At 43.7% G+C, this 22,980-nt stretch overlaps 1 protein-coding gene and 1 long non-coding RNA gene across 47 annotated transcripts in view, besides 3 other annotated features; one reads left to right on the forward strand and one right to left on the reverse strand.

Moving 5' to 3' along the window:
- NAV2 (neuron navigator 2) overlaps positions 1–22,980 on the forward strand; it is a 776,366-nt gene that overhangs the window by 621,280 nt on the left and 132,106 nt on the right. For all 46 annotated transcript variants that reach the window (XM_017018520.3, XM_047427824.1, XM_017018522.2 and 43 more), the window contains one exon: positions 17,610–17,732. In XM_017018520.3, coding sequence (XP_016874009.1) covers positions 17,610–17,732 — 123 coding nt within the window. The remainder of the gene's footprint in view (positions 1–17,609; positions 17,733–22,980) is intronic.
- Positions 3,627–3,756: an enhancer, noted in NCBI's record as "active region_4524". NCBI's record gives its function as "activates an Ori minimal core promoter by ATAC-STARR-seq in GM12878 lymphoblastoid cells {active_cell/tissue: GM12878}" and the evidence as "EXISTENCE:reporter gene assay evidence [ECO:0000049][PMID:35858748]".
- Positions 11,966–13,165: an enhancer, noted in NCBI's record as "MED14-independent group 3 enhancer chr11:20000027-20001226 (GRCh37/hg19 assembly coordinates)". NCBI's record gives its function as "activates an origin of replication core promoter dependent on BRD2, BRD4, P300/CBP and CDK7 cofactors, and independent of MED14, by STARR-seq in HCT116 cells {active_cell/tissue: HCT116}" and the evidence as "EXISTENCE:reporter gene assay evidence [ECO:0000049][PMID:35650434]".
- NAV2-AS3 (NAV2 antisense RNA 3) lies at positions 12,184–14,859 on the reverse strand. The gene is made up of 2 exons (NR_174949.1): positions 14,722–14,859; positions 12,184–12,680 (listed from the first exon to the last, which is right to left on the reverse strand). It is a non-coding gene; the product is annotated as an NAV2 antisense RNA 3 (long non-coding RNA).
- Positions 12,468–12,762: a silencer, noted in NCBI's record as "tiled region #14030; HepG2 Repressive non-DNase unmatched - State 1:Tss, and K562 Repressive non-DNase unmatched - State 5:Enh". NCBI's record gives its function as "represses a minimal TATA promoter and a strong SV40 promoter by Sharpr-MPRA in HepG2 and K562 cells {active_cell/tissue: HepG2 | K562}" and the evidence as "EXISTENCE:reporter gene assay evidence [ECO:0000049][PMID:27701403]".

The raw sequence follows: 22,980 nt of genomic DNA on the forward strand, positions 1-22,980 counted from the left end.
ACCCGTCCTCTCCCCACCCCAGCTGCCATCCTGTTCCTGCCACTCTGAACCACAGACGTTTTCCTTGATACAGACACCATGCTCTTGTAACTGAGCCTTTGCATGAGTCTGCTCTGTCCATAAACTCCTCCCCATCAATTACCACCCACCTGCCACAATCCTTCAAGAGTCTACTGCAGCTAGGAAGCCTCCGCTGATGCACATTGATGGACATTGATGGTCTCCCTCCTCTGAGTTTCCAAACGCCTGGTAACAGCTCCCAGATGGCTTCTCTTATGTTCTTTGGGCTAGTTTGTCCCCCAGGCCAGAATATCCTTGAACAGAGGGATTGTGTCTTTTTACTCTCTCACGTTTCCAACTTCTTCTACCAGACCTGTTGTGTATGCTTGGGTAATATGAGCGGAATGAAAAGAGAGAGAAAGGGGGTGATAGTAGGAGCAGTGCTGCTGCTGCTGCTGCTATTAATAATACAGGTCGTGTTCATTAAGTACTTTTCATGTGGCAGGTGCTTTTCAGGCATTATCTCATTGAATTCTCGTAGAAATCCTGGAAGGCCTATAACATGTGATTGTCCCCATCTTACAGATGTGGAAACTGAGGATGACAGAAGTCCCTTGTCCAAGGTCATACTGCTACTAAAGGGTGCGGCCAGTTTCAGGAAGCTTGAGAGCCAAGCCTATTCTCTTGGTGCTGCCGCCTGTTGCACTTTAGGCTCTGTAGACCCAAGGATTTTCCTACCTTTCCTTAGAGCTCTACAAAGCCTAACCTTCAACTGGATTCATAGAATAAGAATATGGGAAGCAACAGAGTTTCTGCTAGCTAGACAATATCAAGCTCTGTCTTATTCTCGGTGCTAGGTTTTAAGGGGTTCAGAATAAGGCAGAGGTTTTTTTTTAGGAACAGGTAACAAGGTGCAGGATTCAAAACCCAAAACATAATAGAAATGTTTGTAGAAAGTACAAATATTGGCTTGGCATGGAAAGTACTTAGAAAAGCAGTAGGTTCCAGGGGACCAAACTTGAACCATAGGTGGAAGTTAGACAGGTTTTTTATTGCCTAGACACCAAGGTGACCATTAATCAGCATAAGGAAAAATGTGCCCAAAAGTAGACCTGTTAAAACTAGAGGCAGTTTTGCAAGGACATGAGCCCTGTCACTCCCTGTTCCTGGGAATATTCACTCAGAATCTGGAAAACTCTGTATCCCAGATATTACAGAAGGGGTTCCTGCATGAGGTGAAAAGGAGACAAAGAGGTGATCTTTCAAAGGTCTTTCAGTTTTATGATTCAGGGTATCCAGGTGCCCAGAGGAATCATTACAGCTGGATTATAGACTGAGCAGACTGGGTATTGTATTCTGGAGATAAGGATCTCCTTGGAAAGCCACGTTTCCACAGGTCCTGCCAGCCTGGGGGTGATAGTAGAGGCACCAAAGACATTTCTTCTGAAAAATGTTTAACCCATGACTCCTTCTAATAAATACAAAAATTGTGCACACCTCCCTGCTGCCCCAGGTTCTGATCTGGAAGATAAGGAAGTGGACTGTGGCTACAGTCCAGATAAGAGTATGAGGACCGCTGGAAACACAGTGTCTGCACACCAGCTGAGATGTTCATGAACTTTACTACCTAGAGTTCATATGATGAAAACAAATAGGGTGTTGTTGTTGATGTAGTTTTGTTTGTTTGTTTGTTTGTTTTGAGATAGAGTTTCACTCTTGTTGCCCAGGCTGGAGTGCAGTGGCGCAATCTCGGCTCACTGCAACCTCCGCTCCTGGGTTCAAGCTCCTGGATTCTCCGCTTCCTGATTCTTCTGCCTCAGCCTCCCAAGTAGCTGGGATTACAGGCACATACCACCACACTCAACTAATTTTTTGTATTTTTTTAGTAGAGACGGGGTTTCACCATGTTGGCCAGGCTGGTCTCGATCTCCTGACCTCAGGTGATCCACCCACCTCGGCCTCCCAGAATGCTGGGATTACAGGCATGAGCCACTGTGCCCAGCCTTAATAATAGGTCTTTAAAGTGTAAACATGTTTTACTGTTGAATGTGCTCTCTCAGTATGCAGATCCTAGGGAATTCTGCTTTGCCTTCAATCCCATTTGAATTATGATTTTAGCTTATCTGTCTACCTTCTTGTGGAAGTGGAAGCGTTTGAACAAGTTAAAGAGTGAAAAAAGTCAGATACCCCATTATTTGGTCTGTGTAGCAGTATCAGTCACTATGACCAGCTCCTGGTGCACTGATAGAAGGTAATTTGAGTGTCCTATAGGCAACTGACCATAGCTTGGCTCCTACTCTGGAGGTCATTGGCCTGTGTTTCGGCGACTTCTCAGCCTGTCTTTCCCCCCAGAGTGCTCCGACTGCTGCTAGGGCACCCCTGCCACACCCTGTTCCCAACCGCCTTGGCTTCTCCTTGTCCGCAGGCTGGCTGGGTTGCCTGGGTGCTTGGCTGCTTGGCTTCTGAGTGTCTCATGCCCAGGTTACCTCAAGAGCTCCAGCAGCTGCCTTCCTACAGGGAGAAACGTGCTCATCCACACAGTTTGTGCCACACCCTGTCCCTCTTGTGAACACACCTGTGGTACTGTCCTGACCTATACATATTGAAATTCTAAAAGAGAAACACAGTTCTTTTGCTTTTCAAACTGTGCTCCCCACTATACTGCTTTCACTTTTCTAAGAATCAAATACAATGGGAAATTTGGCCATGGAGAAATGAAACTCGCTTCAGCTCAAGTTCAGGATGCCTTAGGGTGTGGCAGTAACATTGTTCCCAATACAGTGGACTCTTTGCTGGAGCCATGCTGTCCCTTAAATGAGACCCGGAAGGCCCACATCTTCCTGGAAGTCCTTTTTGGACCCTTTCTGTATCATTGTCTACTATTGATAGTATTTGACTTATCTCTAAAGCAGATGCAAGGATGCATCTTATTTCTCTTTGTGTTCTCCAGATGCTTAATGCATAAAATATACATACACTATTCCTCCCTTTTCCATAGGAGATATATTCCAAGACCCTCGGTGGATGCCTGAAACTGCAGACTGTGCTTAACTCTATATAAACTATGGGGTTTTTTTCCTATGCATACATACCTGTGATAAAGTTTAATTTATAAATTAGACACAGTAAGAAATTAACAACAGTTGGCTGGGCGCAGTGGCTCACACCTGTAATCCCAGCACTTTGGGAGGCTGAGGCGGGCGGATAATGAGGTCAGGAGATCGAGACCATTGTGGTTAACATGGTGAAACCCCATCTCTACTAAAAATACAAAAACAAAATTAGCCAGGCGTGGTGGCAGGTGCCTGTAGTCCCAGCTACTCAGGAGGCTGAGGCAGGAGAATGGCGTGAACCCGGGAGGCGGAGCTTGCAGTGAGCCGAGATAGCACCACTGCACTCCAGCCTTGGTGACAGAGCAAGACTCTGTCTCAAAAAAAAAAAGAAAAAAAGAAAAAAGAAATTAACAACAGTAACTAACAATAAAATATAACTATTGTTACAATATGCTCTAATAAAAGTTATGTGAATGTGGTCTCTCTCTCTCTCAAAATATCTTATTGTACCATACTCACCCAATGTGAGACCACAGTTGACTGTGGATGACTAAAACCATGGAAGGTGAAACCACAGACAAGGGAGGACTACAGTGAAAGCAGTTTTTTGTTTTTATTGAGACAGAGTCTTGCTCTGTTGCCCAGGGTGGAGTGCAGTGGCATGATCTCAGCTCACTGCAACCTCCACCTCCTGGGTTCAAGTGGTTCTCCTGTCTCACGCTCCCAAATAGCTGGGATTACAGGCATGCGCCACCATGCCTGGCTAATTTTTGTATTTGTAGTAGATATGGGGTTTCACCATGTTGGCCAGGCTGGTCTTGAACTCCTGGCCTCAAGGGATCCATTTGCCTCAGCCTCCCAAAGTGCTGAGATTACAGGCACTGCACCCAGTCCAACAATTTAATTGTTGATTGTTATTTATTCTTTCTTCAGTATACCAAGAAACACTTGGTAGGTACCTATCTCGAGAGTTGAAGGCACAGTTATAGGGACTGGGGATTTTGAAGCAAAAGTATTGGTTCTGAAATAATAATAACAGAGCTACCTTTATTGAACTTGTTGGGTGAAGGCTGGAGCACAAGAAGAAAGACAAGCCAACAGTTATAATAAATGTGAAATAAGGGAGCCAGGCTTCAATTTTATCATAAAAGACAGAAAAAGGATTTATTGAACACACAAATACATTTAAATGAAAAAAACCTTAGTGACTACTTTCTACTTGTATTTTCTTGGACAAATCACTCCAATTCTCTGAGTCTTCATTTTGCATCTGAAAAATCATTAAACCAAGTAATCTTTGAAATCCCCCCAGATCTAATGTTCTGTAGTTCCATGAAACTGCCTATCATGAATGTTTTTCTCAATGCTCTGTTGCACTTAAAATGAGGTTTTAGAGTTCACACCTTCTCAGTGTGGTGTCCTCAAGTGGGAGGTGGGGGAGATGATCTAAAAGACATCCTGTATTTCGACATTAATATGCTAGATGAGGCAGACCATCATGGTGTGGGAACACTGCATGCCCAGGTGAAGATAAGCACAAGTGTTTTAGTCATTGAGAGCACATCATCTGGTTTTGGGGAGTTTGTGTCATGTCTGGCCCCACAGGCACGTTTTTGAGTAGGACACACTTTTGCCAACCTTAGTAGAAAAGGGCATTTTTCCATTGCTCACTATGCGAGGGACGGGGGTTATGTGGTATGTGCCAAGCTGAAGAGGTTAGAGTGATTGTTCTTTTCTTGTGGCCTGTGGTTTGCATAGGGTGCCTTTTCACTGTGGGATTTTATCTTAAGACTTTCTACCATGGCCTGTTTTCTTTTTAGGGGGCAAGGGGATGGAGAGATGGGTTTGGGACCTATTTTGCAGGGTATAAAAAAGCCTTTTTACACCCCAAAGAGAGAGCTGTGAGATTTCCCTTTCCTGGCTCAGGGCATGGGTGGGCCCCCCGGTAACACCCCAGCCACACAGCCTTGTTTCCCCCCATGTGAATGTATCATATGCAACTTTTGTGGATGTACAACACACTTTTGGATAGTTCCTGTTAATATGGAAATCTGGTACCTTAATTAGTTCAAAATCTGAACTCTCCAGGAAGACAATGACTGATTTCCATCCTCACATATTTTAACTCAATGTTTTTCAAACTTTTTTCTGTTTTGAGACAGTCTTGCTCTGTCACCCAGGCTGGAGTGCAGTGGCACGATCTTGGCTCATGCAACCTCCGTCTACTGGGTTCAAGCAATTCTCCTGCCTCAGCTTCCCAAGTAGCTGGGATTACAGGCACGTGCCACTATGTCCAGCTAATTTTTGTATTTTTAGTAGAGACGGGGTTTCACCATGTTGGCTAGGCTGGTTTTGAACTCCTGACCTCAGGTGATCCACCCACGTTGGCCTCCCAAAGTGCTGGGATTACAGGCATAAGCCACTGTGCCTGGCCCAAACTTTTTTCTTTTTAGATGTCATGCCCCATCCTGAAAGATCTCACACCCTGACTTGGGGGTGAGGAGGTGCAGAGCTGGAGGGTAAAATTAGATGTGGCTTTTCAGAATCACTGTATCTTTAATAGCTCCACAACAACTCAAATTTTGTCAAACTTTAGCTACAGAATGCATTATCAAAAACATTGGGCCTTGAACATACTTTTCAAATTCCTGCTCCCTCCCTGGAGATAGGATCATTCCTACAGACAACCAGTGTTCTCAGCTGCCTGTGTACAGTTTCTGAAGGTGACATCTGGACGAGTGACCAGGGCCAGCATTTCATGTTGTCAGCTGTCATGTCTGCTGTTCTTGTGGATTCAATGGCTGCTAATTTGAGCATCCGATAGTCACCTAGTTTTGCTTAATCCTCTACCCTTGAAGGCCAAAGGTCTATATATCTGTTTCCTTGGTATTGGTGGTTTATTTTTTGAATCCCATTTAGAATAAGTGCCCAGAATAATCACTGTCTTGATGAAAATATCACCTGGTAGAAACTTAGCATAGAAAACCATACACCGAGTTCACTTTACATGTTGGGTCCTTTGTGTTTGTACATGCGTGTCTGTGTGAACTACCTGATCTCCCTCCCCCAAGCCAATATTGCCTGGCAGACACCTTCAAGATGCTATGGGAGGCTTTCTTTCTCTAAGGAGCCTTTTCTGGCCTCTCTGTGCTTTGGCCTTTACTGAACCCCATGCAAATATTTACACATCTGCTTGCCCCAAGCTGACACTAAGCCCCTCAAGCTCAAGGACTGAGTCTGATTTTTATGTCCCCAACACCCAGGCTAGTGCCTGCCTCTCAGTAGGTACTACATAAATGTTTGTTGCACAAATGCCACCACCTTAAACATAGGCCTCCTCTGGGCAAAGTCCTACATGTGACTCTATGTGAGCCCTTCCTGCAGCCTCCCTACAGTGCTTCCAGAAATCTAGTTGTTCGCTGAGGTTGAATGATGTTCCCAAGGTCTGCTTTTTGCCTTTGTCTACAGCAGGGATTGTCTCACAATTACAAATTAGTCGCCTTCTCATTCTGTCTATTCTCAGTACACCGTGGCATTCTTTCAGCTGCAGTCTAGAAAAGACAAGGTGAAACTTGCATGAACCTAAGCCAAAGTGCCAGCTGATTTCTCCCCAGTTTGGTAAAGACTTTTGTTGTTACCTGGGGGGGTCTACATGAACCCAGAAGGGAAACAGACACTAGATGTCAGATTCCCACCCCTACAGGCTCTAGTCATCTTCCAAAGGGAACATACAATCCTCAAAGCCAACAAAAATTCTGCTGACTTAATGTGAAAAGTGAGCCTGTGTCTCAGAGCACTCTGAGGCTTGGGGAGCCGTAGCAGAAATCGCAGGAATGATAAGACTTACCAGCCCACAGATGATGATTGGCAGGTGTGTTTCAGTGCATCAGAAGTGTTCGGGAGAATGCATTTTCCAAAAGACGCATGAAGCTTGGTAGTATGTTTTACCACCACACAGAAATTCTCTACTTGATCAATCTCTCTGCTAGGAGATTGGTGAAAGCCAAGACCCAAGCAGTGGTGAGATTAAGCGTGTGTGCTAAAATTCAGGGTAACATGTGAATTGTAGCATTGCCATGAGCCACTGCGGAATTGGTTTATAGCAAACAGACAAGTCTTGCAATGTAGAAACCATTGCAGAATACGTTGAAGGATCTACTCAGCCAGGATCCACTTCTGTCATATTCTGTTGACAACGTAGAAGGCTTTTCCAGAGGAAGAGCATCTGATTATGATGCCACACTGAGCTACCTGTGTGTTGTCCATAATGCTTTGAATTCAGCATGCCTAATACTGCTCCCTCTTGCCACTTGCCAGCCATCTGAGTTTCCAACAGTCGGACTGTCCTGAGGCCGGTAGGCATTTAACTATGAGACCATGAGTCACTTGATATTTTAGAAGAAACTTAAAGTAGTAACAACTTTTATCAAGCCTTGATTTGAGATGGAGGAAACATTGGGGATCAGCTTCAACCTAGGTTAATGTGGATATTGTCCCCTAACACAGAGGGGGCCAAGAGTAGTTACTAAGAGGATCTGAAGTTTAAATTACTGTTACAGTGTAGCCACATTATAGTCAACTAATTCTTAGGGAAACTGAATCCAATCTAGCACACAGTTCTTCCGCCCAGGTCTCATGATTTAAGGCAACATTTCTCACAGTTTTGGCCTGACTACCTGCAAGAGAATTACTTGCATGTCTGTTAAAAATGCAGACTTGGGGGAAAGGATGAATAGGTGGAGCATGGGGCATTTTTAAGGTGGTGGAATTATATTCTGTGATACTGTAATGGTGGGTAGGTGACATTCTGTATCAAAATCAGTAGAGCTGTAAGACACAGAGTGAACCCTAATGTGACTTTAGTTAATAATAATGTATTAATATTGGTTCATCAGTTGCAACAATGAACCACACTAATACAAAATATTAATAATAGCCCAGGAGCAGTGGCTCACGCCTGTAATCCCAACACTTTGGAGGCTGATGTGGGAAGATGGCTTGAGCCTAGTTCAAGACTATCCTGAGCAATGTGGCAAGACTCCATCTCTACAAAAAATTTAAAAATTAGGGCATGGTGGCATGCGCCTGTAGTCCCAGCTGCTCAGGAGGCTGAGACGGGAGGATCCCTTGAGCCCAGGAGTTTAGGACAGCAGTGTACAGTCTACCTTGGGTGACAAAGCAAGACCCTGTTTCTAAGAAAAAAGTGTACATAATAATAGAGCAAAGTGTTGGGGGGAAGAGGGGATATAAAGGAACTCTGTAATTTCTGTACAGTGTTAGAGAAATAATCTCTTAAAAAGTAAAGTCTGTTTTTTAAAAATATGCAAGATTTGGGCCTCACTAAATACATCTTGCGTGTATGAAGCTGAGGCCTTGGAATAAGCATTTTGGTCAGGCTCTCCAGAGGATCTGCCTGTATTCTGAGGTTTGAGAATTCCTGGATATCAGTCCATCTCCTTTCACCATCTGTTTCATTCTAAGAAAGAGCTTAAAGGGGCTTTGTCTAGAGAACTGTCTCTTGTGTGTTAGGATGTGTTTCATCTTTCAGAAGGTGGACAAAAAGCTTCCTGCTAATGCTAGAAATATTTGCTGCAATTCCACACTGACAGTTGAACCACAGTAAAGACAATTCAGGCAAGACCAGTTTCAGACACAGGAACTGTCAATTTTCGAACGTGTGCAGCCTTTCTTCAGAAGTGTGCCCTGCCTGCGTCCATTTCAAACAAGCGTAGCCATGGATTATAATTAAAATTTTACATATCTCTATTGGTTTAAGGGTGATAAGTACACTATTGTTATAATCCTTGGCTCTTTGTGCATCGGAGTATGTATTTTATTAGGGCTATTATAGGCCTTTCAAATTAAAATGCTCCTGGACTTTATATACGTATAGATCTTTTTCAACCAAAATGCTCTGGAAATTAGTATTAGATGGAATTTTATTAAACTTGTGGAAAGTCACATTGCATTTTGCAAAAGACACACAAACCTTGGTAGCCTGTTTCACCACCACACAGAAATTCTCCACGTGATCAATCTCTCTGCTAGGAGTTTGGTGAAAGCAAGACCCAAGCAGTGGTGAGATTGAGCCTGTGTGCTAAAACTCAGGGTAACGTGAATTGTAGCAATGCCATGAGCCACTGCGGAATTGGTTTATAGCAAACAGACAAGTCTTGCAATGTAGAAATCATTGTAGAGTGTGTTGAAGCATCTGCTCAGCCAGGATCTACTTCTGCCCTGTTTTAGCAAAGTCACTGCTAAGGTGGGGCCTCGAGGTCTGTGAGCCAACTCATGCTGGATGTGAATTTTGCACATATGTGAGATGAGGTCCCTAGCTTTCACTCGTTTCTCCAAAGAGGTTAATAAGAAAGTTTAGGAATTTCTGATTTCGATAATGGTCTGTAAACTGGATTTGGTTGTAGTTGTTTTTAAAATATATATGTGCCATGCTATTGAAATATTGCATATACTCTATAGCGTGCAAAAACATAGGAATCAGAAAGATCTTGATGAGAAATAAATATACGTAGAAGCACTTGCGTTTTCACTCCTGGATCATCTGTGCTCCCCTCTACAGAGACCACTGCCCGGGTCCAGTGCTTCTTTTTCTTTAGTGTGCACACAAATCACCTGGGGGGTTTATGGAAATGTTGAGTCTGATTTAGAAGGTCTCGGATATTGCTTTTTAAGACAGCTTCCAGGTGATGTTGAAACTACTGCTCCATGGCCCGTATTTCAAGCAGCAGGTAGATGGAGAGGCGTGTGTTGAGTTGAGCTGCAGACAGCGACTCCCACGCTATCTCTTCTGTCTCTCTCTCTTTCAAGCAGTCCTCAGCACTGGCTTTAGGAAGTAGAAATGGCAAAAGTCTGTGACACCAGTTTTCCCTGGCGAGGCTGGCAGGGGGCCCCTGGGACCTTTTGACTCCTCTTTAACTCAGGCCCACCTTTTCCTGCTGCTGCCTCTGTCCCCATGGCCTGCTAGATCTGAGCCCTTGTTTGATTAGCTTAGCAACATCTTTGCAGTACTCCCCAGTGAGGTGTGCTCTGTTGACTGGGACTAGCCAGAGTCAGCTCCAGAACTCCTGAGTGAGTTCACTTCTGCAGCAGCCTTGACTTCCTGCTGTACCTTGACCAGAGGATTTATCTGGGTTTTCCTGGTTATCTGGCTCACTTTGCAGCAGAGAAGCAGGGGCTGGTGCCCCTTCAACTGTGTGTTCTCCTGGGGGATGGCTCGTGGCCATTGAAGAAACTTTGCAGCAGTGCAGTCTATATGCCATGGTCACGTCATCCTATGCTCTGAACCAAGGTGGTGTGTGTTGTGGCCACAGGAGACTGTTCCAGGCTTGAGTGACATAAGGGAAGATTTTACTCACGATGTACATTGAACTCCCAAATCCTCCTAAAAAGAACAAGTCGCTATCAACTTGGTGACATCCTGAAGAGCTGACAGTCCTGGAGGACAGTAGGAAATCGCATAAAGGGTGCCCCAATTTTGCATCAAGCAGAAAGGTAGGAAACTGGTTGGATTCTCTAAGTCACATTTCCCACTGGCCTCTGTCAGCGGTTGTTGGAAGCATTCCCCCAAAGGCATGAAGGCCAAAGATGTGTGGGTCTGTCCGAAGAATTGCCCACTAAGTCATAAAAATGAAAGATTACATTTCTTACCCCTCTTCCACCTCACATCCTCTTGTTTCTTAACTGTGTGGATTGTGCAGTCTGTCTTATTTATGGTTAAAGTCCTGTTACCACAGGGAACCCCAACTGAGAAAGGCATTGTCACCTTGGGCTTTCTCTCCAAAGGTTGTTGTTGGTTTTGTTTCATCTTGTGTCAGTTTGGGGTGACCCATAATCAGGAAGAGGCAATACTGTGTTCTTCGCTTGAATTTCACCTTTATTTGATTCTAAAATATGTAAGAATATGCTGTGAGTAGGATATTAGAGTCACTGCAACATGTCTCTGAACTTGTCGTGGGGGACAAAGGTTTTGATAAATATGCCACGTTTGCCTGAACATTTATGCCTAAAAACTCATTGAGGACAAAGTGGTTTCCATGTGTTTCCTTAGCAAAATTTTAAGTATTCACTAAATTTTAGTGCTGCAGTTTTATAATTCGCACTGAGAAATTAAGCCCTTTTTTTTTCCAGTCATATTTTTGCATTTCAGAGCATTCTCTTCTTCCTTGAGCCAATGTGGCCACTGCTTTTCTTTTCAGAGAGGTCAACTTTTTTCTTTTTTTTTTTTTTTTTTTTTTTGAGACAGGGTTTCACTCCGGTTGCCCAGGCTGGAGTGCAATGGCACAGTCTCGGCTCACTGCAACCTCTGCCTCCCGGGTTCAAGCAATTCTCCTGCTTCAGTCTCCCGAGTAGCTGGGATTACAGGCGCCTGCCACCACGCCCAGCTCATTTTGTTTTTTTTTGTTTTTTTTGGTTTTTTTTAGTAGAAACGGGGTTTCACTATGTTAGCCAGGCAGGTCTCAAGCTCCTGACCTCTGGTGATCCACCCACCTCAGCCTCCCAAAGTGCTGGGACTACAGGCGTGAGCCACCACACCCAGCAAGGTCAGTTTTTTTTTCAAAAGGATGCAGGCAGCTTTGTTAGACTCGCTGGCCGGTGCATCCTCCTACGACCCGGAGTGAAGTTGATTCATCTGTCTTCTCAGAGGCCCTAAACTAAAGGGATTCTTTTCCAGGTCTGTCCAGAAACTCGATTTGCATCCTAATAAACTCAGAGAATGAATGTCACACTGTATTATAACTGAGTAGAGGGGCCTGTGAAAGCATATGATGTTTGGGGATCTGGATGTTGATGACATTGCTCAACAACAAGGGCTTTTCGTCAGCCCCCATTAGTTTTTTCAATCTAATGCAACAAAGTATGTGTTGATATATACGTCCAGATATTTATATTGTTATTGGCAAGGAATATTACACACACATTTGTAATTATTCCATGTTTCTGTGTCCACGTTTCAACCAAAAGTGTGTCCAAAAAATAGAGACAGGCTGACGTGTCTTCGAAGAAAAGTAATTATGTAGGATTGATTTGTTTTCTGTTTGTTCTTTCATTTCTTGCATCTGAGAGGTTTTTTTTTTTTTTTTTTTTTTATGTCATGCTCTATTAGAAATGCACTCGACTAGAGCAAGTCGGTACGTATTTCTTTCCTTCTCTGTCCCCTCTCTCCTCACACAGTTCTTGACAGAGGTGATTTCTGGTGAGATTAGTGGCAGTCAGTTTGTATTACTTATGCAGGCCATGTTGAACTGTGAACTTTGGAAATGAGAAGCCACCTTTCGCCGCTTCTGAAGGTGACTCACAAAGCCAGTTTCACTTGGTTCCACATTGTTGCATCATTACATTTAAAGAAAGGGAAGAAATCTGTTTACTAAATGTTAGACTTGAAGTCTGGAGTATTTGTTCTAGCAGGTCCTGTTAGATTCCACAGCTTTTTCATAGCTAGTGTCAGTTACCAACCTATTCTGTAGAGAAAGTTCCTTTTGTAAAAGGCATGTTGCCTTCACAGGTCTGTCTTGACTGGAGGGATGGTGAGGACTACCCTTCAAGTCTGGCCAGCTCCCAGAGGTCTGGGATGACTCAGACAGGACTAGGAAATGGTGTGTTCTGAAAAATCTGTAGAAGAAAGTACTGATGAGAAAATGCCCACCAAAAATTGAATACAGAATGTTGGAAGAATCGAAAAGTCGACGTTCTCTTTGAAACAGAAGCCAGAGCCTGTTACTCATTAGTACCTTCATGTATCCCCCATCTTACAGGCAGAGGCCTGGCATCCAAGATGTTCAAAACCATCCCCCAGGTCCCATGCAGCCCAGTTCCTAGCTGTGATCCCAGTGTTCTAACAATAGTGAACTACTTACCCTTCTCTGAACATACCTTCCCCTCTGCCATTTCTCTCTGCTTTTGCATAGGTTATCCATGTGTCTAGATGGATCCTCTTTTGGCTGGCAAACTCCTCCGCACCCTTTAGGGCCAACTTAAACAGCACTCCTCTGCGACGCTTTCTCCCGTGTGTTCTCAAAGCCAGTCATGCATTCATCTGTTATACCACTTTTATGTAGCAGTAGAGCTATTTGCATGTCTTAGTCCCTAGTAGGTTTTGAGCTTCACCAGAGCAGGAACTAGGTCTTGCCACTCCTGTAAGCAGCTAATGATTAGGAAGTGCTCCCTATATGCCAGGCACTGGGCTTTCTAAACATATGCACTGTCTCATTTAACCTGCCACAATCCTATGAGGGAACTTAAACTAGAAGAAATTGCGCTGAAATGCGACAGTTGGGATTTGAACTCACCTGCCTGCGCTGGGATCTTAACCACAGCTCTGTTTTCCTCATCTGAACAATAGAGATGACAATAACACTTGATAAGATTATTTTGAAGGTTGAATGCCATGATTTATGTGAAGCACTTAACACAGTACCCAGTGAGCATTTAGTACCATTAGTGCTTACTAACAATGATGTATACTAGGTCCTTCAGCCAGCAAGGGGCAGAGAAGGCATTTGAACAACTTGGGTCTAACAACAGTCATGTTCCTTAACCCTGATGCTCATGGGCCACCCCAGGGAAGCAAGAAAAACACCCCACAGACACCTTGTCCCTTTAGCAGAGGCTCTGACTCTTTCCATCCAGGGGTCTCTGGGGAAGCTTAAGAAGGTGGATGCGGAGAGCCGCCTCCACCCACCTATCATGGCAGAACTCGGGAGGGTAATGGGGAGATGGTTCAGTAGCTTAGCAACTGAGGCAAGAGTCCACTCAGAAGACATTAGGATGTTACCAGCACCTCATTAGGCTCCAGCACTAATTATTTATCTCTCCAAGGAGAAGGAAAGTGTGGCATGGGTGTTCTGAGATTGAGTTCTTGGATCAGCTGGTTCCTTTGCTTGTGACCTCAGACAAGTCATTTCTTCTTCACCCAGTGTGAGCCTCTTATAAAAGCTCCTCAAGTGGAGGATGAGGCCATCAGTCCTCTGGCTCCCTGAACCTTCAGAAACACAAGCTTTTTTAACACTTCTGGGCAAAAGCCAGTGTTTCAGATAAACACACCCGTGGCTGCTTCATCTGTAAATTATGCTTTCTTAAGGCCTTCACTTTGTTAAGGCAGTCTATATTGATGTATACAATAGCCAATTCCTATACAAATTTTGGTCCAGCAAACCCAAATTTGTATATTTTTCATTGACTGTATAATACAGGAGTTATTTAAAAATATATACAGAGCTGTTTGTAAATCATTGTAATTGGTGGATAATAATTTAGAAACATTTTAAATTAATTTCTTGAGTGTGAGGCTGGCTCTAACCACAGCTCTGTCTCTGGTGCTGTGCCGTCTCCCAAGGAGAGACATACAACAGAATTTATTTCAAAGAATATTGTTGTTTAAAAAACAGTTGAACATGTGTTTACATATCTCTAAAAGAAGAGGTAAGTTCCCCATTTTCCTTATCACTCTGCCTGCCCTCCCTCTACATGCGCACGATAAGTGAAATAGACTTGCAGTCTTGAAACTAGATCATTGTCAGACTAGTTGCATTCACCTCCCTGACTTTCATTTCTTCCTACAGTTTGAGAAGGCAGAAGATCCTGATTTAGCTTTGCCTTTCCCCTCCCCTCTGCCAAAACAAAGTCAGAATTCCCAACAGCAAGCCCAGCTCACATGTTCAGTTCCATTTCAGTCCCATTTCTCAGAGGCTTTCCCGCTTTTCTGGGGTTGTCGTTTTCTGATACATCCACGTTGCACCCGGGTGTAGCTGGGCTGGGGCTGCAACGTTTCTCAGCATTCTGTGTCTGGAATGCTCACCAGGCCCCACAGTCTGGCCTTAGCAGGAAGCCAGGGTTCTGTACATGTGGGCCTTGTCTACATGCCTGTGTGTGTGTAATTACCCAACCGTGTGTGTTGTTTCACCAGCAATAAAAATCCAGCAGGGAAATGAATGCTAAAATTAGTTTGTTTGTCCTTTGACAAGATCTCCCCAGTTGAAAGAATTTTGTTTATCTAACTGGCTGGGCAGACTTGGCTAAGATCAAAATTAACTGCCTTGCTTAATGGTGTAATAGATGGTATTTTGAAGAGCTTCCACTGAGTTCTCCTTGAAAGGACGTGGGGTCTAGAAAGTCCAGCCTCTGGCAAAGTTATGGCATTTTGGTGTAGGTGTTTTTTCCTCCTTGTGCTACCTGTAGGATGGATGCCCATAACCCATTACTCTACCCTGAGTCACTCTATCTGTTGGAGGGTGGCTGGATGGATGGATGATGGGTAGATTGGCAGATCGACAGTTTAATTTGCTTGTCATATGTCTTAAATGTAAGTTTGTTAAAGCTTAAGAGGAAAGAAAACCTGTAATCAGTGTTCTTGCAAAAAAAATTTGCACAGCCCTATGGCTGTGTCTTTGGGCTTCATTCATTCATGTGTTCATTCATTCAACAAAAACAGCATTTAATAAGCACCTAGTATGTACTAAGCTCATGGGATATAGATTTGAACAAAATAAGAATCTCTGCCTGCAAAGAGCTTACTATTTAGTGTGAGAGACATGCATTGAAGGGCAATTAAACAAATAATTATTTAACTATAGCTGTAATCATTTTTTATATTTTTATTGAGATTTAATTCATATATCATGAAATTCACCATTTTATTTATTTATTTTTGGGGTTTTCTTTTTTGTTTTGTTTTTGTTTTTGTTTTGTTTTGTTTTGTTTTTTGAGACGGAATCTCACTCTGTCGCCCAGGCTGGAGAGCAGTGGCACGATCTCGGCTCACTGCAACCTCCACCTCCCGGGTTCAAGTGATTCTCCTGCCTCAGCCTCCCAAGTAGCTGGGACTACAACAGGTGCATGCCACGTGCCCGGCTAAAAATTCACCATTTTAAAGCATACAATTTGATGGTTTTTAATGTATTCACAGAGTGGTTTTTAAAATGATAAAGTTGAGTGAAAACTTCAGTCTCTTCTGTTGCATTTTCAGCACAAGCACAAACACTTAGTCTGATTTACTCCAACAGATTTCTCATTATGTTGATATTGTGACCTTGGGGATCATTAATGTCATAAAGGGAGGAGCAGGGAACATTGGAGGTGTTGAATTTAGCCACAGTAGCTTAGAAGCTTCCTGGGTTCCTCTTACCCATTCTGGAAGGTGCTTTTCACATGAGATAACTCCAGTGAGAATTTTCTTCTCTGCCCCTTACTTGAACTTCCTGGTCTGGGCAGCCTCGTCTGCATCTCATAATTCTGTTCTTGAAAAATATATCCTAAAAAGGTCCCCAGCTACAGGTAGAAGAAATTCAAGGATTGGGAACCCTCAGGGTCGACTCCATATATGCAAAAGTTAAAATGGCAAGTGCAATTAAGCTTTCCATGACGTAGCTCAGCTGACCCTGTTTCAGAAAAATAATGACTCATTGGTCCTCTTACTACATATTACTTGATTTGAAATGTAAAATGCTTGCATTTTCAGATACCTTGCAGGGTGATCTGATGGGGCCCATAAGGGATTGAAGGGATCCAAGTTTGGTTTCTGGCTCTGCCCAAGTTTTGCTTTGCCTTCCTGTTCTCCTCTGAAGATGAGGGAAATGACAAAACCAGTCTCCTTTATGGGGGCTGTGAGGAAGCCAAGGTAGATATGAGGTACAGCTGCCTTGGACTGAGCTACCTCCTACTAGTGGCTAAGCTTTCAGGAACTTGTCTGGTTGGTAGACAATCAGCCATCTGTACAGAAAGTTCCAGACATCCTCCCTCTCAAGAACAGCACTGATTTCATCAGAAGACAGCTTTGTAGTATTACCAAAAAAAGAATAAACTAGCATTAGTGTTGTTCAGAGTTTTGTGGCAACCCCCTGAAAACATCAGTATCAAGGGTGAAATTCACCTCATGATCGTGACAACCGTAATGTCTTCCACTTATATAGCCTTACACAAATTTCAGTGCACTTTCATATTCCTTATCTCACTAATTCTCATGCCCATGTTGTGATATTCCCACATGTCACAGGCCGTGATAGTCCTATAGCCTGGGTGAAAAACTCACCATCCAGGGAAGGGACTCGCCTGTGATGGCAAAGGCCACTCATCTATCCTCTCTCCTTTCTTTCCCCCTCTCTCAAAAGCCTGCCTGCTTTTTCCACTCACTGTTCTGTAATATTATTGCCTATGATTTGCTAATGATTTGTCAGTTCCATTTCCGTTACTCAGGTAAAACACCTGCTTGTATAATCGCTGACATTGAAAAGAATGTCATGAATCCATGTGACAGTTAATTTTATTCCCTAGTTCCCGTCTGCGTCGTAGGTACCTGTGAGTTTGGGTTAATTAAGCTGAGTTCGCTCTCTTTTTTCACCTTTTTGTTAGCGAGCTGGGGATCCTCTAGGTTGGATCAGCAGCTGAGTTATCCTTGGGCTGTGATCAGTGCCAGAGCCTCAGGGAATCCTCCGTTTCTTCCCCCTTAGAGCACTTGGCGGCTGTACAGGCTTCTGGATATGAATGCAAGCCTGGAAGCCACTTGCTTTGGACATTCATGTGCATCATCTTCTTCTCCTTTTAAAGATACATGACTGATGGTGGACTTGGCCTCTATACCCGTCGCCTGAACCGGCTCCCTGATGGGATGGCTGTGGTACGGGAGACCCTGCAACGAAATACCTCCCTGGGCCTCGGAGACGCTGACAGGTAAGCTTGCTGCACTTGGGGCTGGTCAGATGCAGAGGTGATCCCAGGGGGGCCCTGAGAAATGAGGGTTATGATATTGGGAGAGTGAATGGAGACTTGAACCCACAGAGAGGGAGGGGAGGCCTGGAATCTGTACCTGGGGTTAGGAGCAGGTACAGTAGGTAGGAAAGGGCTGCCGAGGGTTCTTGAGTCCTGCTTCTGTGTAGGGTGGTGCTTCTGACAGCAGTAACACAGGGAGTTCAGGCTTGGGTGGTTTTGGTTATTGTTTTGCTTGTTGCTACTGTGTCTTTGTCAGTTCAGCAGGCCCTAGGGATGTGCTTTACTTCCTCTCTCATTAGCCAGCTTTCTAGGTATTGCACCTTGTGGCACAGAAGGTCTGTGTGCAGAAGGGATCTCTCCTAGCCTTGGCTGAGCAGCCTTCACCAAAAAGCCTCCTGTTGCATGGTAATAGGAGGCAATGCTTAAGGACATGGGTTTAGACACCACATGCTAAGTAGTTGACATCATAGAGGTTGATCAGGCGTCACTGCCACTGCTGTCAGGGAAGAAAAGAGGTTCAGAAAATACTGTGGTAATAAAAGAGGACTATTTGGCCTCCAGGTTCTAGTTCTTACTCTGACAAACTGATTCTATGACCCTGAGCAACCGATGAAGTGAGGAGTTTGGACTATATGATTTCTATGATCCCTTCCAGTTCTAATGTTCTATAATTCTGGATTTCAGTGCAGATTTCAAATACCCTTAATGATCTGGCTGTTTAAGGATTTGCTGGAACACTTGACTTCTTTCCACATCTGGGTTGATGAGATGTAACATGGAATTTAGATGCAAGTGGTTTAAAATGACCATAGACTTTTTGGGTACTAAACCTTTTATGTCAGAAAGCCAAATAGTAGCACAACAACAGCTTCCTGCTGTTCCCAGGGCATGCTTTTTACAAAGAGCTAAGTGACTTCTGTAATTGTGTGGCTTTAGAGAAATAGGACAGCACACCAAAGAGACAGATACTGAAATCACACCCAGAGATGGAATTTGCTGAAGAAGAATCTTCATGTTCTCTCAGGGAAGGCTGGGAAACACTGAATGAGTTGTTAGGAACTTGGGATCTGGCCCAGTCTCTACCACTAACTTGAATGTGTCCTCCTTAGAGTCCCCCCAGTGCCCAGGCTTGTGATTTATATCAGGGATGTTAAAAGGCCTTCCACTAGGGTTCTAGCTCAAGTCAGATTTTTTCCTGTAATTAACAAAGAAAGGAATGGGTTTGAAAAGTCCATAGAAACATGAACCATTTGAGAAAAAAAAGTTTTTTTTGTTTTTTTGTTGTTGTTTGTTTGTTTGTTTGTTTTTGAGACAGAGTCTCACTCTGTCACCCAGGCTGGAGTGCAGTGGCATGATCCTGGCTTACTGCAACCTCCATCTCCCGGGTTCAAGCAATTCTCCTGCCTCAGCCTCCCAAGTAGGTGAGATTATAGGCGTGTACCAGCATGCCCAGCTAATTTTGAATTTTTAGTAGAGACGGGGTTTCACCATGTTGGCCAGGCTGGTCTCGAACTCTCGAATTCAGGTGATCCACCTGCCTCGGCCTCCCAAAGTGCTGGGATTACAGGCGTGAGCCACTGCGCCCGGGCTGAGAACTGCTCTTACTAAGGAGAAACTAAACTCTCTGTAACTAAAATCTTTATAGTAAATAATAACAGTAAAAAAAAATCAGTTGCTACAACACCCCCACTGGAGATTTGACAATTTGCCAAATTATTTTGCTTATTTGTATTCTTCTATCCGTTGTTTAGTAAATCTATCCACATAAAATACAGTCCTTACAAGATACAGTTTTCCTTGTAGCAGAAGAATCTATGCTAGGCAGTTTAATTTAATGCTTCATTGTAAGATTAATGGGATTACTATAGATCACAGTTGAGCTTGTTTCCTGCTTCTGGAGATGGAGGATGAGGGTGGGGTTGAAAAGATAGGTAGCACTTGTTAGGTTGTTTTAGTTCAGCCTGTATGGTTAAACCAAATGGACAACAATGTCCTTTGGTTCTCTCCAGACTGGAATGCTCCGATATGATCATTTATTTAAAACTGAATGAGTCCGGGCATGGTGGCTCACGCCTGTAATCTCAGCACTTTGGGAGGCCAAGGCGGGCAGATCACCTGAGGTCAGGAGTTTGAGACCAGCCTGGCAAACATGATGAAACCCTGTCTCTACTAAGAATGCAAAAATTAGCCGTTTGTGGTGATGCACAACTGTAATCCCAGCTACTCGGGAGAGGGAGGCATGAGAATTGCTTGAACCCGGGAGGCAGAGGTTGCAATGAGCCGAGATTGTGCCATTGCAGCCATTGCATTCCAGCCTGGGCAACAGAGTGAGACTCAGTCTCAAAACAAAAAACAAACTGAGTGGATAACTGACAAAGTTTTAAAGAAAGAACTCAGATGGCTTTTTAAAGACATAGGATTTGCAAAAGACTACAAATTTACCCTTGTTTTACATAAGTTCTGGCCTATAGGCAAGGAGATATTTTCCATTATTCTAGAATATGCTAAATTTTTATAACTTCCAAAGTTATTATGAGCTGACCATAGTAATACTTCATCTTTGGCTAAGTTGAAATAGTACATTTGTTTCTGTAAAATTCTTTATGTAAATCGCAAATTTAGTCTCATGTAGTTACAAAATCTATATTCTAAATGAGTGTTTCCCAAAGTGGGAGGCTATCATGGTGGTATAGGAGATAGTTTTAGATGGCAGATAGGAAAATACTCCTTTTTAATAATTACATTTTAATTTTAATATTTTTTTAAAAACTTACAACTAGCACATCAAACCTGTGATTTTACAAATGCTGCTTAAGGTAAGGATAGTGTAGACTTGAGACAATTTAATGTGAAATATCAAGGAAGAATATCACAGGTGGTATGTAGTTATATCAGAAAACAAAGGTAGTATGCAAGTGGCTGCAATTTCGATAATACTGTTCTTGTCCCTGTAATTGGAAATATGTTCTTTAAACAACTTAGATAATTGACCCGAATTCTTTCCTTTAAACCTGAAAATCGAAGGTCCCAGAGCTAAGGTTTTTCCAGGAAGTTCTGTATAAAAAGATAGCCTGGTCCTTTTTCCATTCACACATAAGCAATAGACCACATGAGTTCTACAAAGGAAAGAGGAAAAGTACTGAGTGATTAGACCTGATTAGACCTCAGCAAACGAAAGAAAGGCAGATCACTGTGTGAATAAGAAAATTAATAACCACAGCCAAGCAGCTGGGGAGAACAGCTCTTCCAGGAAAAGACCTTAAGGGACGCTGGCCTACCAGGCAGAACTTGCCTGTTTGCAGCAGAATGTGGCTGGGGTATCTTCAGGGTTATTAAAAGTAACTGATAAGAATGGATGCCTTCAGAGCCTGGGAGATAGAGACTGTGTCAGTTGGTGAGTCTGGTATGTTACCAGCCAGCTTCTAAGAAATAATAAATGAAGATAGTAAAGTGTGCCCTTGATCTCTTGTCACTCTTTAGGGTTGCCACTCCTGGGCTCCAGGTTTTTCCTGATAGTGATCAGTGTCTACTTCCAGCAGACTAGAGCCAGGTGTCTGAGAAGAGAGGATCAAAAGGGACAAATGGAGTGGCTTATTACACATCATAGGCTCCAGATAACAGACAGATAAAAGGAGCTTTGGCATGGAGGTCTCCAAACTGGCAGACTGGGAAGAAGAAGAAATATGGCAAGGAGGGCCAAGACTAGGCTAACAGACAGTCAAATGGCTCATTGAACTCCTGCCAGTTCCTACATGCACTGCTGTCCTCTCAGAACCCATCAAAAGTTCCCGAACTCCAGCAAGTTGAGAGCTTTGATAGTGTAAAGATCAGCTCTGGGAAAGTTCTAAATCTCTTTCTTGGTGACTGCAAAGCCACACCATCCTCCTCATCCTTTTCTTTACCAACCTGTGTTTTAGCACACAACGGGCTGAGCCAGTTAGATGCTCCTCTCGAATGTCATCCCAAGATCACATAAACGCCATTGAGAGCACAACGAGGACAGAAATCAGGCTTGGTGTGACATTAGATCAGGAGGAGGACTTTGGAACTACTTGGTAACTTTCTTCTAAGCCGTTAGAATACTTACTGAACTTCAGTGCTTTTTATTAATTTAGGCGATAAGGCCATATTACTTCAAACCTTCTAAAGACAAAAAAAACAAATGCTGTGTGGTAAAGAGTCAGCCTGAAACTTGAACAAAATGAAAATCGCCCTCCACCTTTGAGCCAGGAAACCAAGCAGAAAGGAGAGATTTTTCTTTTCTTCTTGTTATAAGTTTTTCATTACCCTTCAAATTCTGAATGTTTTAAGTACTGAGATTGCTGTTTCAGTGAAGGATTCAGAGTCACTGTACAGACTTTCCAGGCTGCATCCAGGGCCTTGGCACTCAGAGGCGTCCCAGTTTCAGCTTGAATTGGGAGGCCTCTCTCAAGGAGAGTCTCATGGTGTGAGAATGTAACTATGCAACCTGGTATTTGAGCAGCCTGCCAAGCTGAGCCCTCCTTCCTTGCTGGGAGTGTCATAAGAACTCCAAGAGCCCAGGACACTGCTTGGCTTTGTGATTCATATGGAACAAAGCAGGCCTCCTGGCACCAAGCAGTGCATTCATGGATTCAGGTCTGATCTGGAGGAAAGAGTTTAATCCAGGCCAGAGGTCCCCAGCCTGCAGATGCAATTGGCGCCCTTACCAGGTGGTAGGTCCCCAACAAGCCAGTTATTTCTGAAGCATAGTCCCTACTGAGAGCCACATAAGAGAAGCAGCAAAAACGGGAAGAGACTGCTCCCCTCACGCTTCATTCTAAGCCTGTGGTAGGTGTAATAATCATCCCCAAAGATGGCCACATTCTAATCTCCAGAACCTGTGGATATGTTAAGTTTCATGGCGAGGGGAATTAAGGTTGCCAGTCAGCTGACAGGGAGATTACTCTGGCTTATTCAGGTGGGTCCAACATAATCACAAGGTCCTCAAAAGTGAAAGAGGGAGGCCAAGAGGAGGAGGTCAGAATGATGTCATGTAAGAAGGACTCGTCATGCCATTGCCAGCTTTGAAGATGGAGGAAGAAGGCTACAGCCCAAGAATGCAGGTGGCCTCTATGTAGGGGAAAAGCCATAGGAACAGATGCTCCTAGAGCCTCCAGAAATGAATGTAGCCCTGCACATACCCATCATTTTAGCCCACGAGACCCATGTCAGCTTCTGACTCACAGAA

Source organism: Homo sapiens, chromosome 11 (genome assembly GCF_000001405.40).
Source record: "Homo sapiens chromosome 11, GRCh38.p14 Primary Assembly".
NCBI lineage: Eukaryota > Metazoa > Chordata > Mammalia > Primates > Hominidae > Homo > Homo sapiens.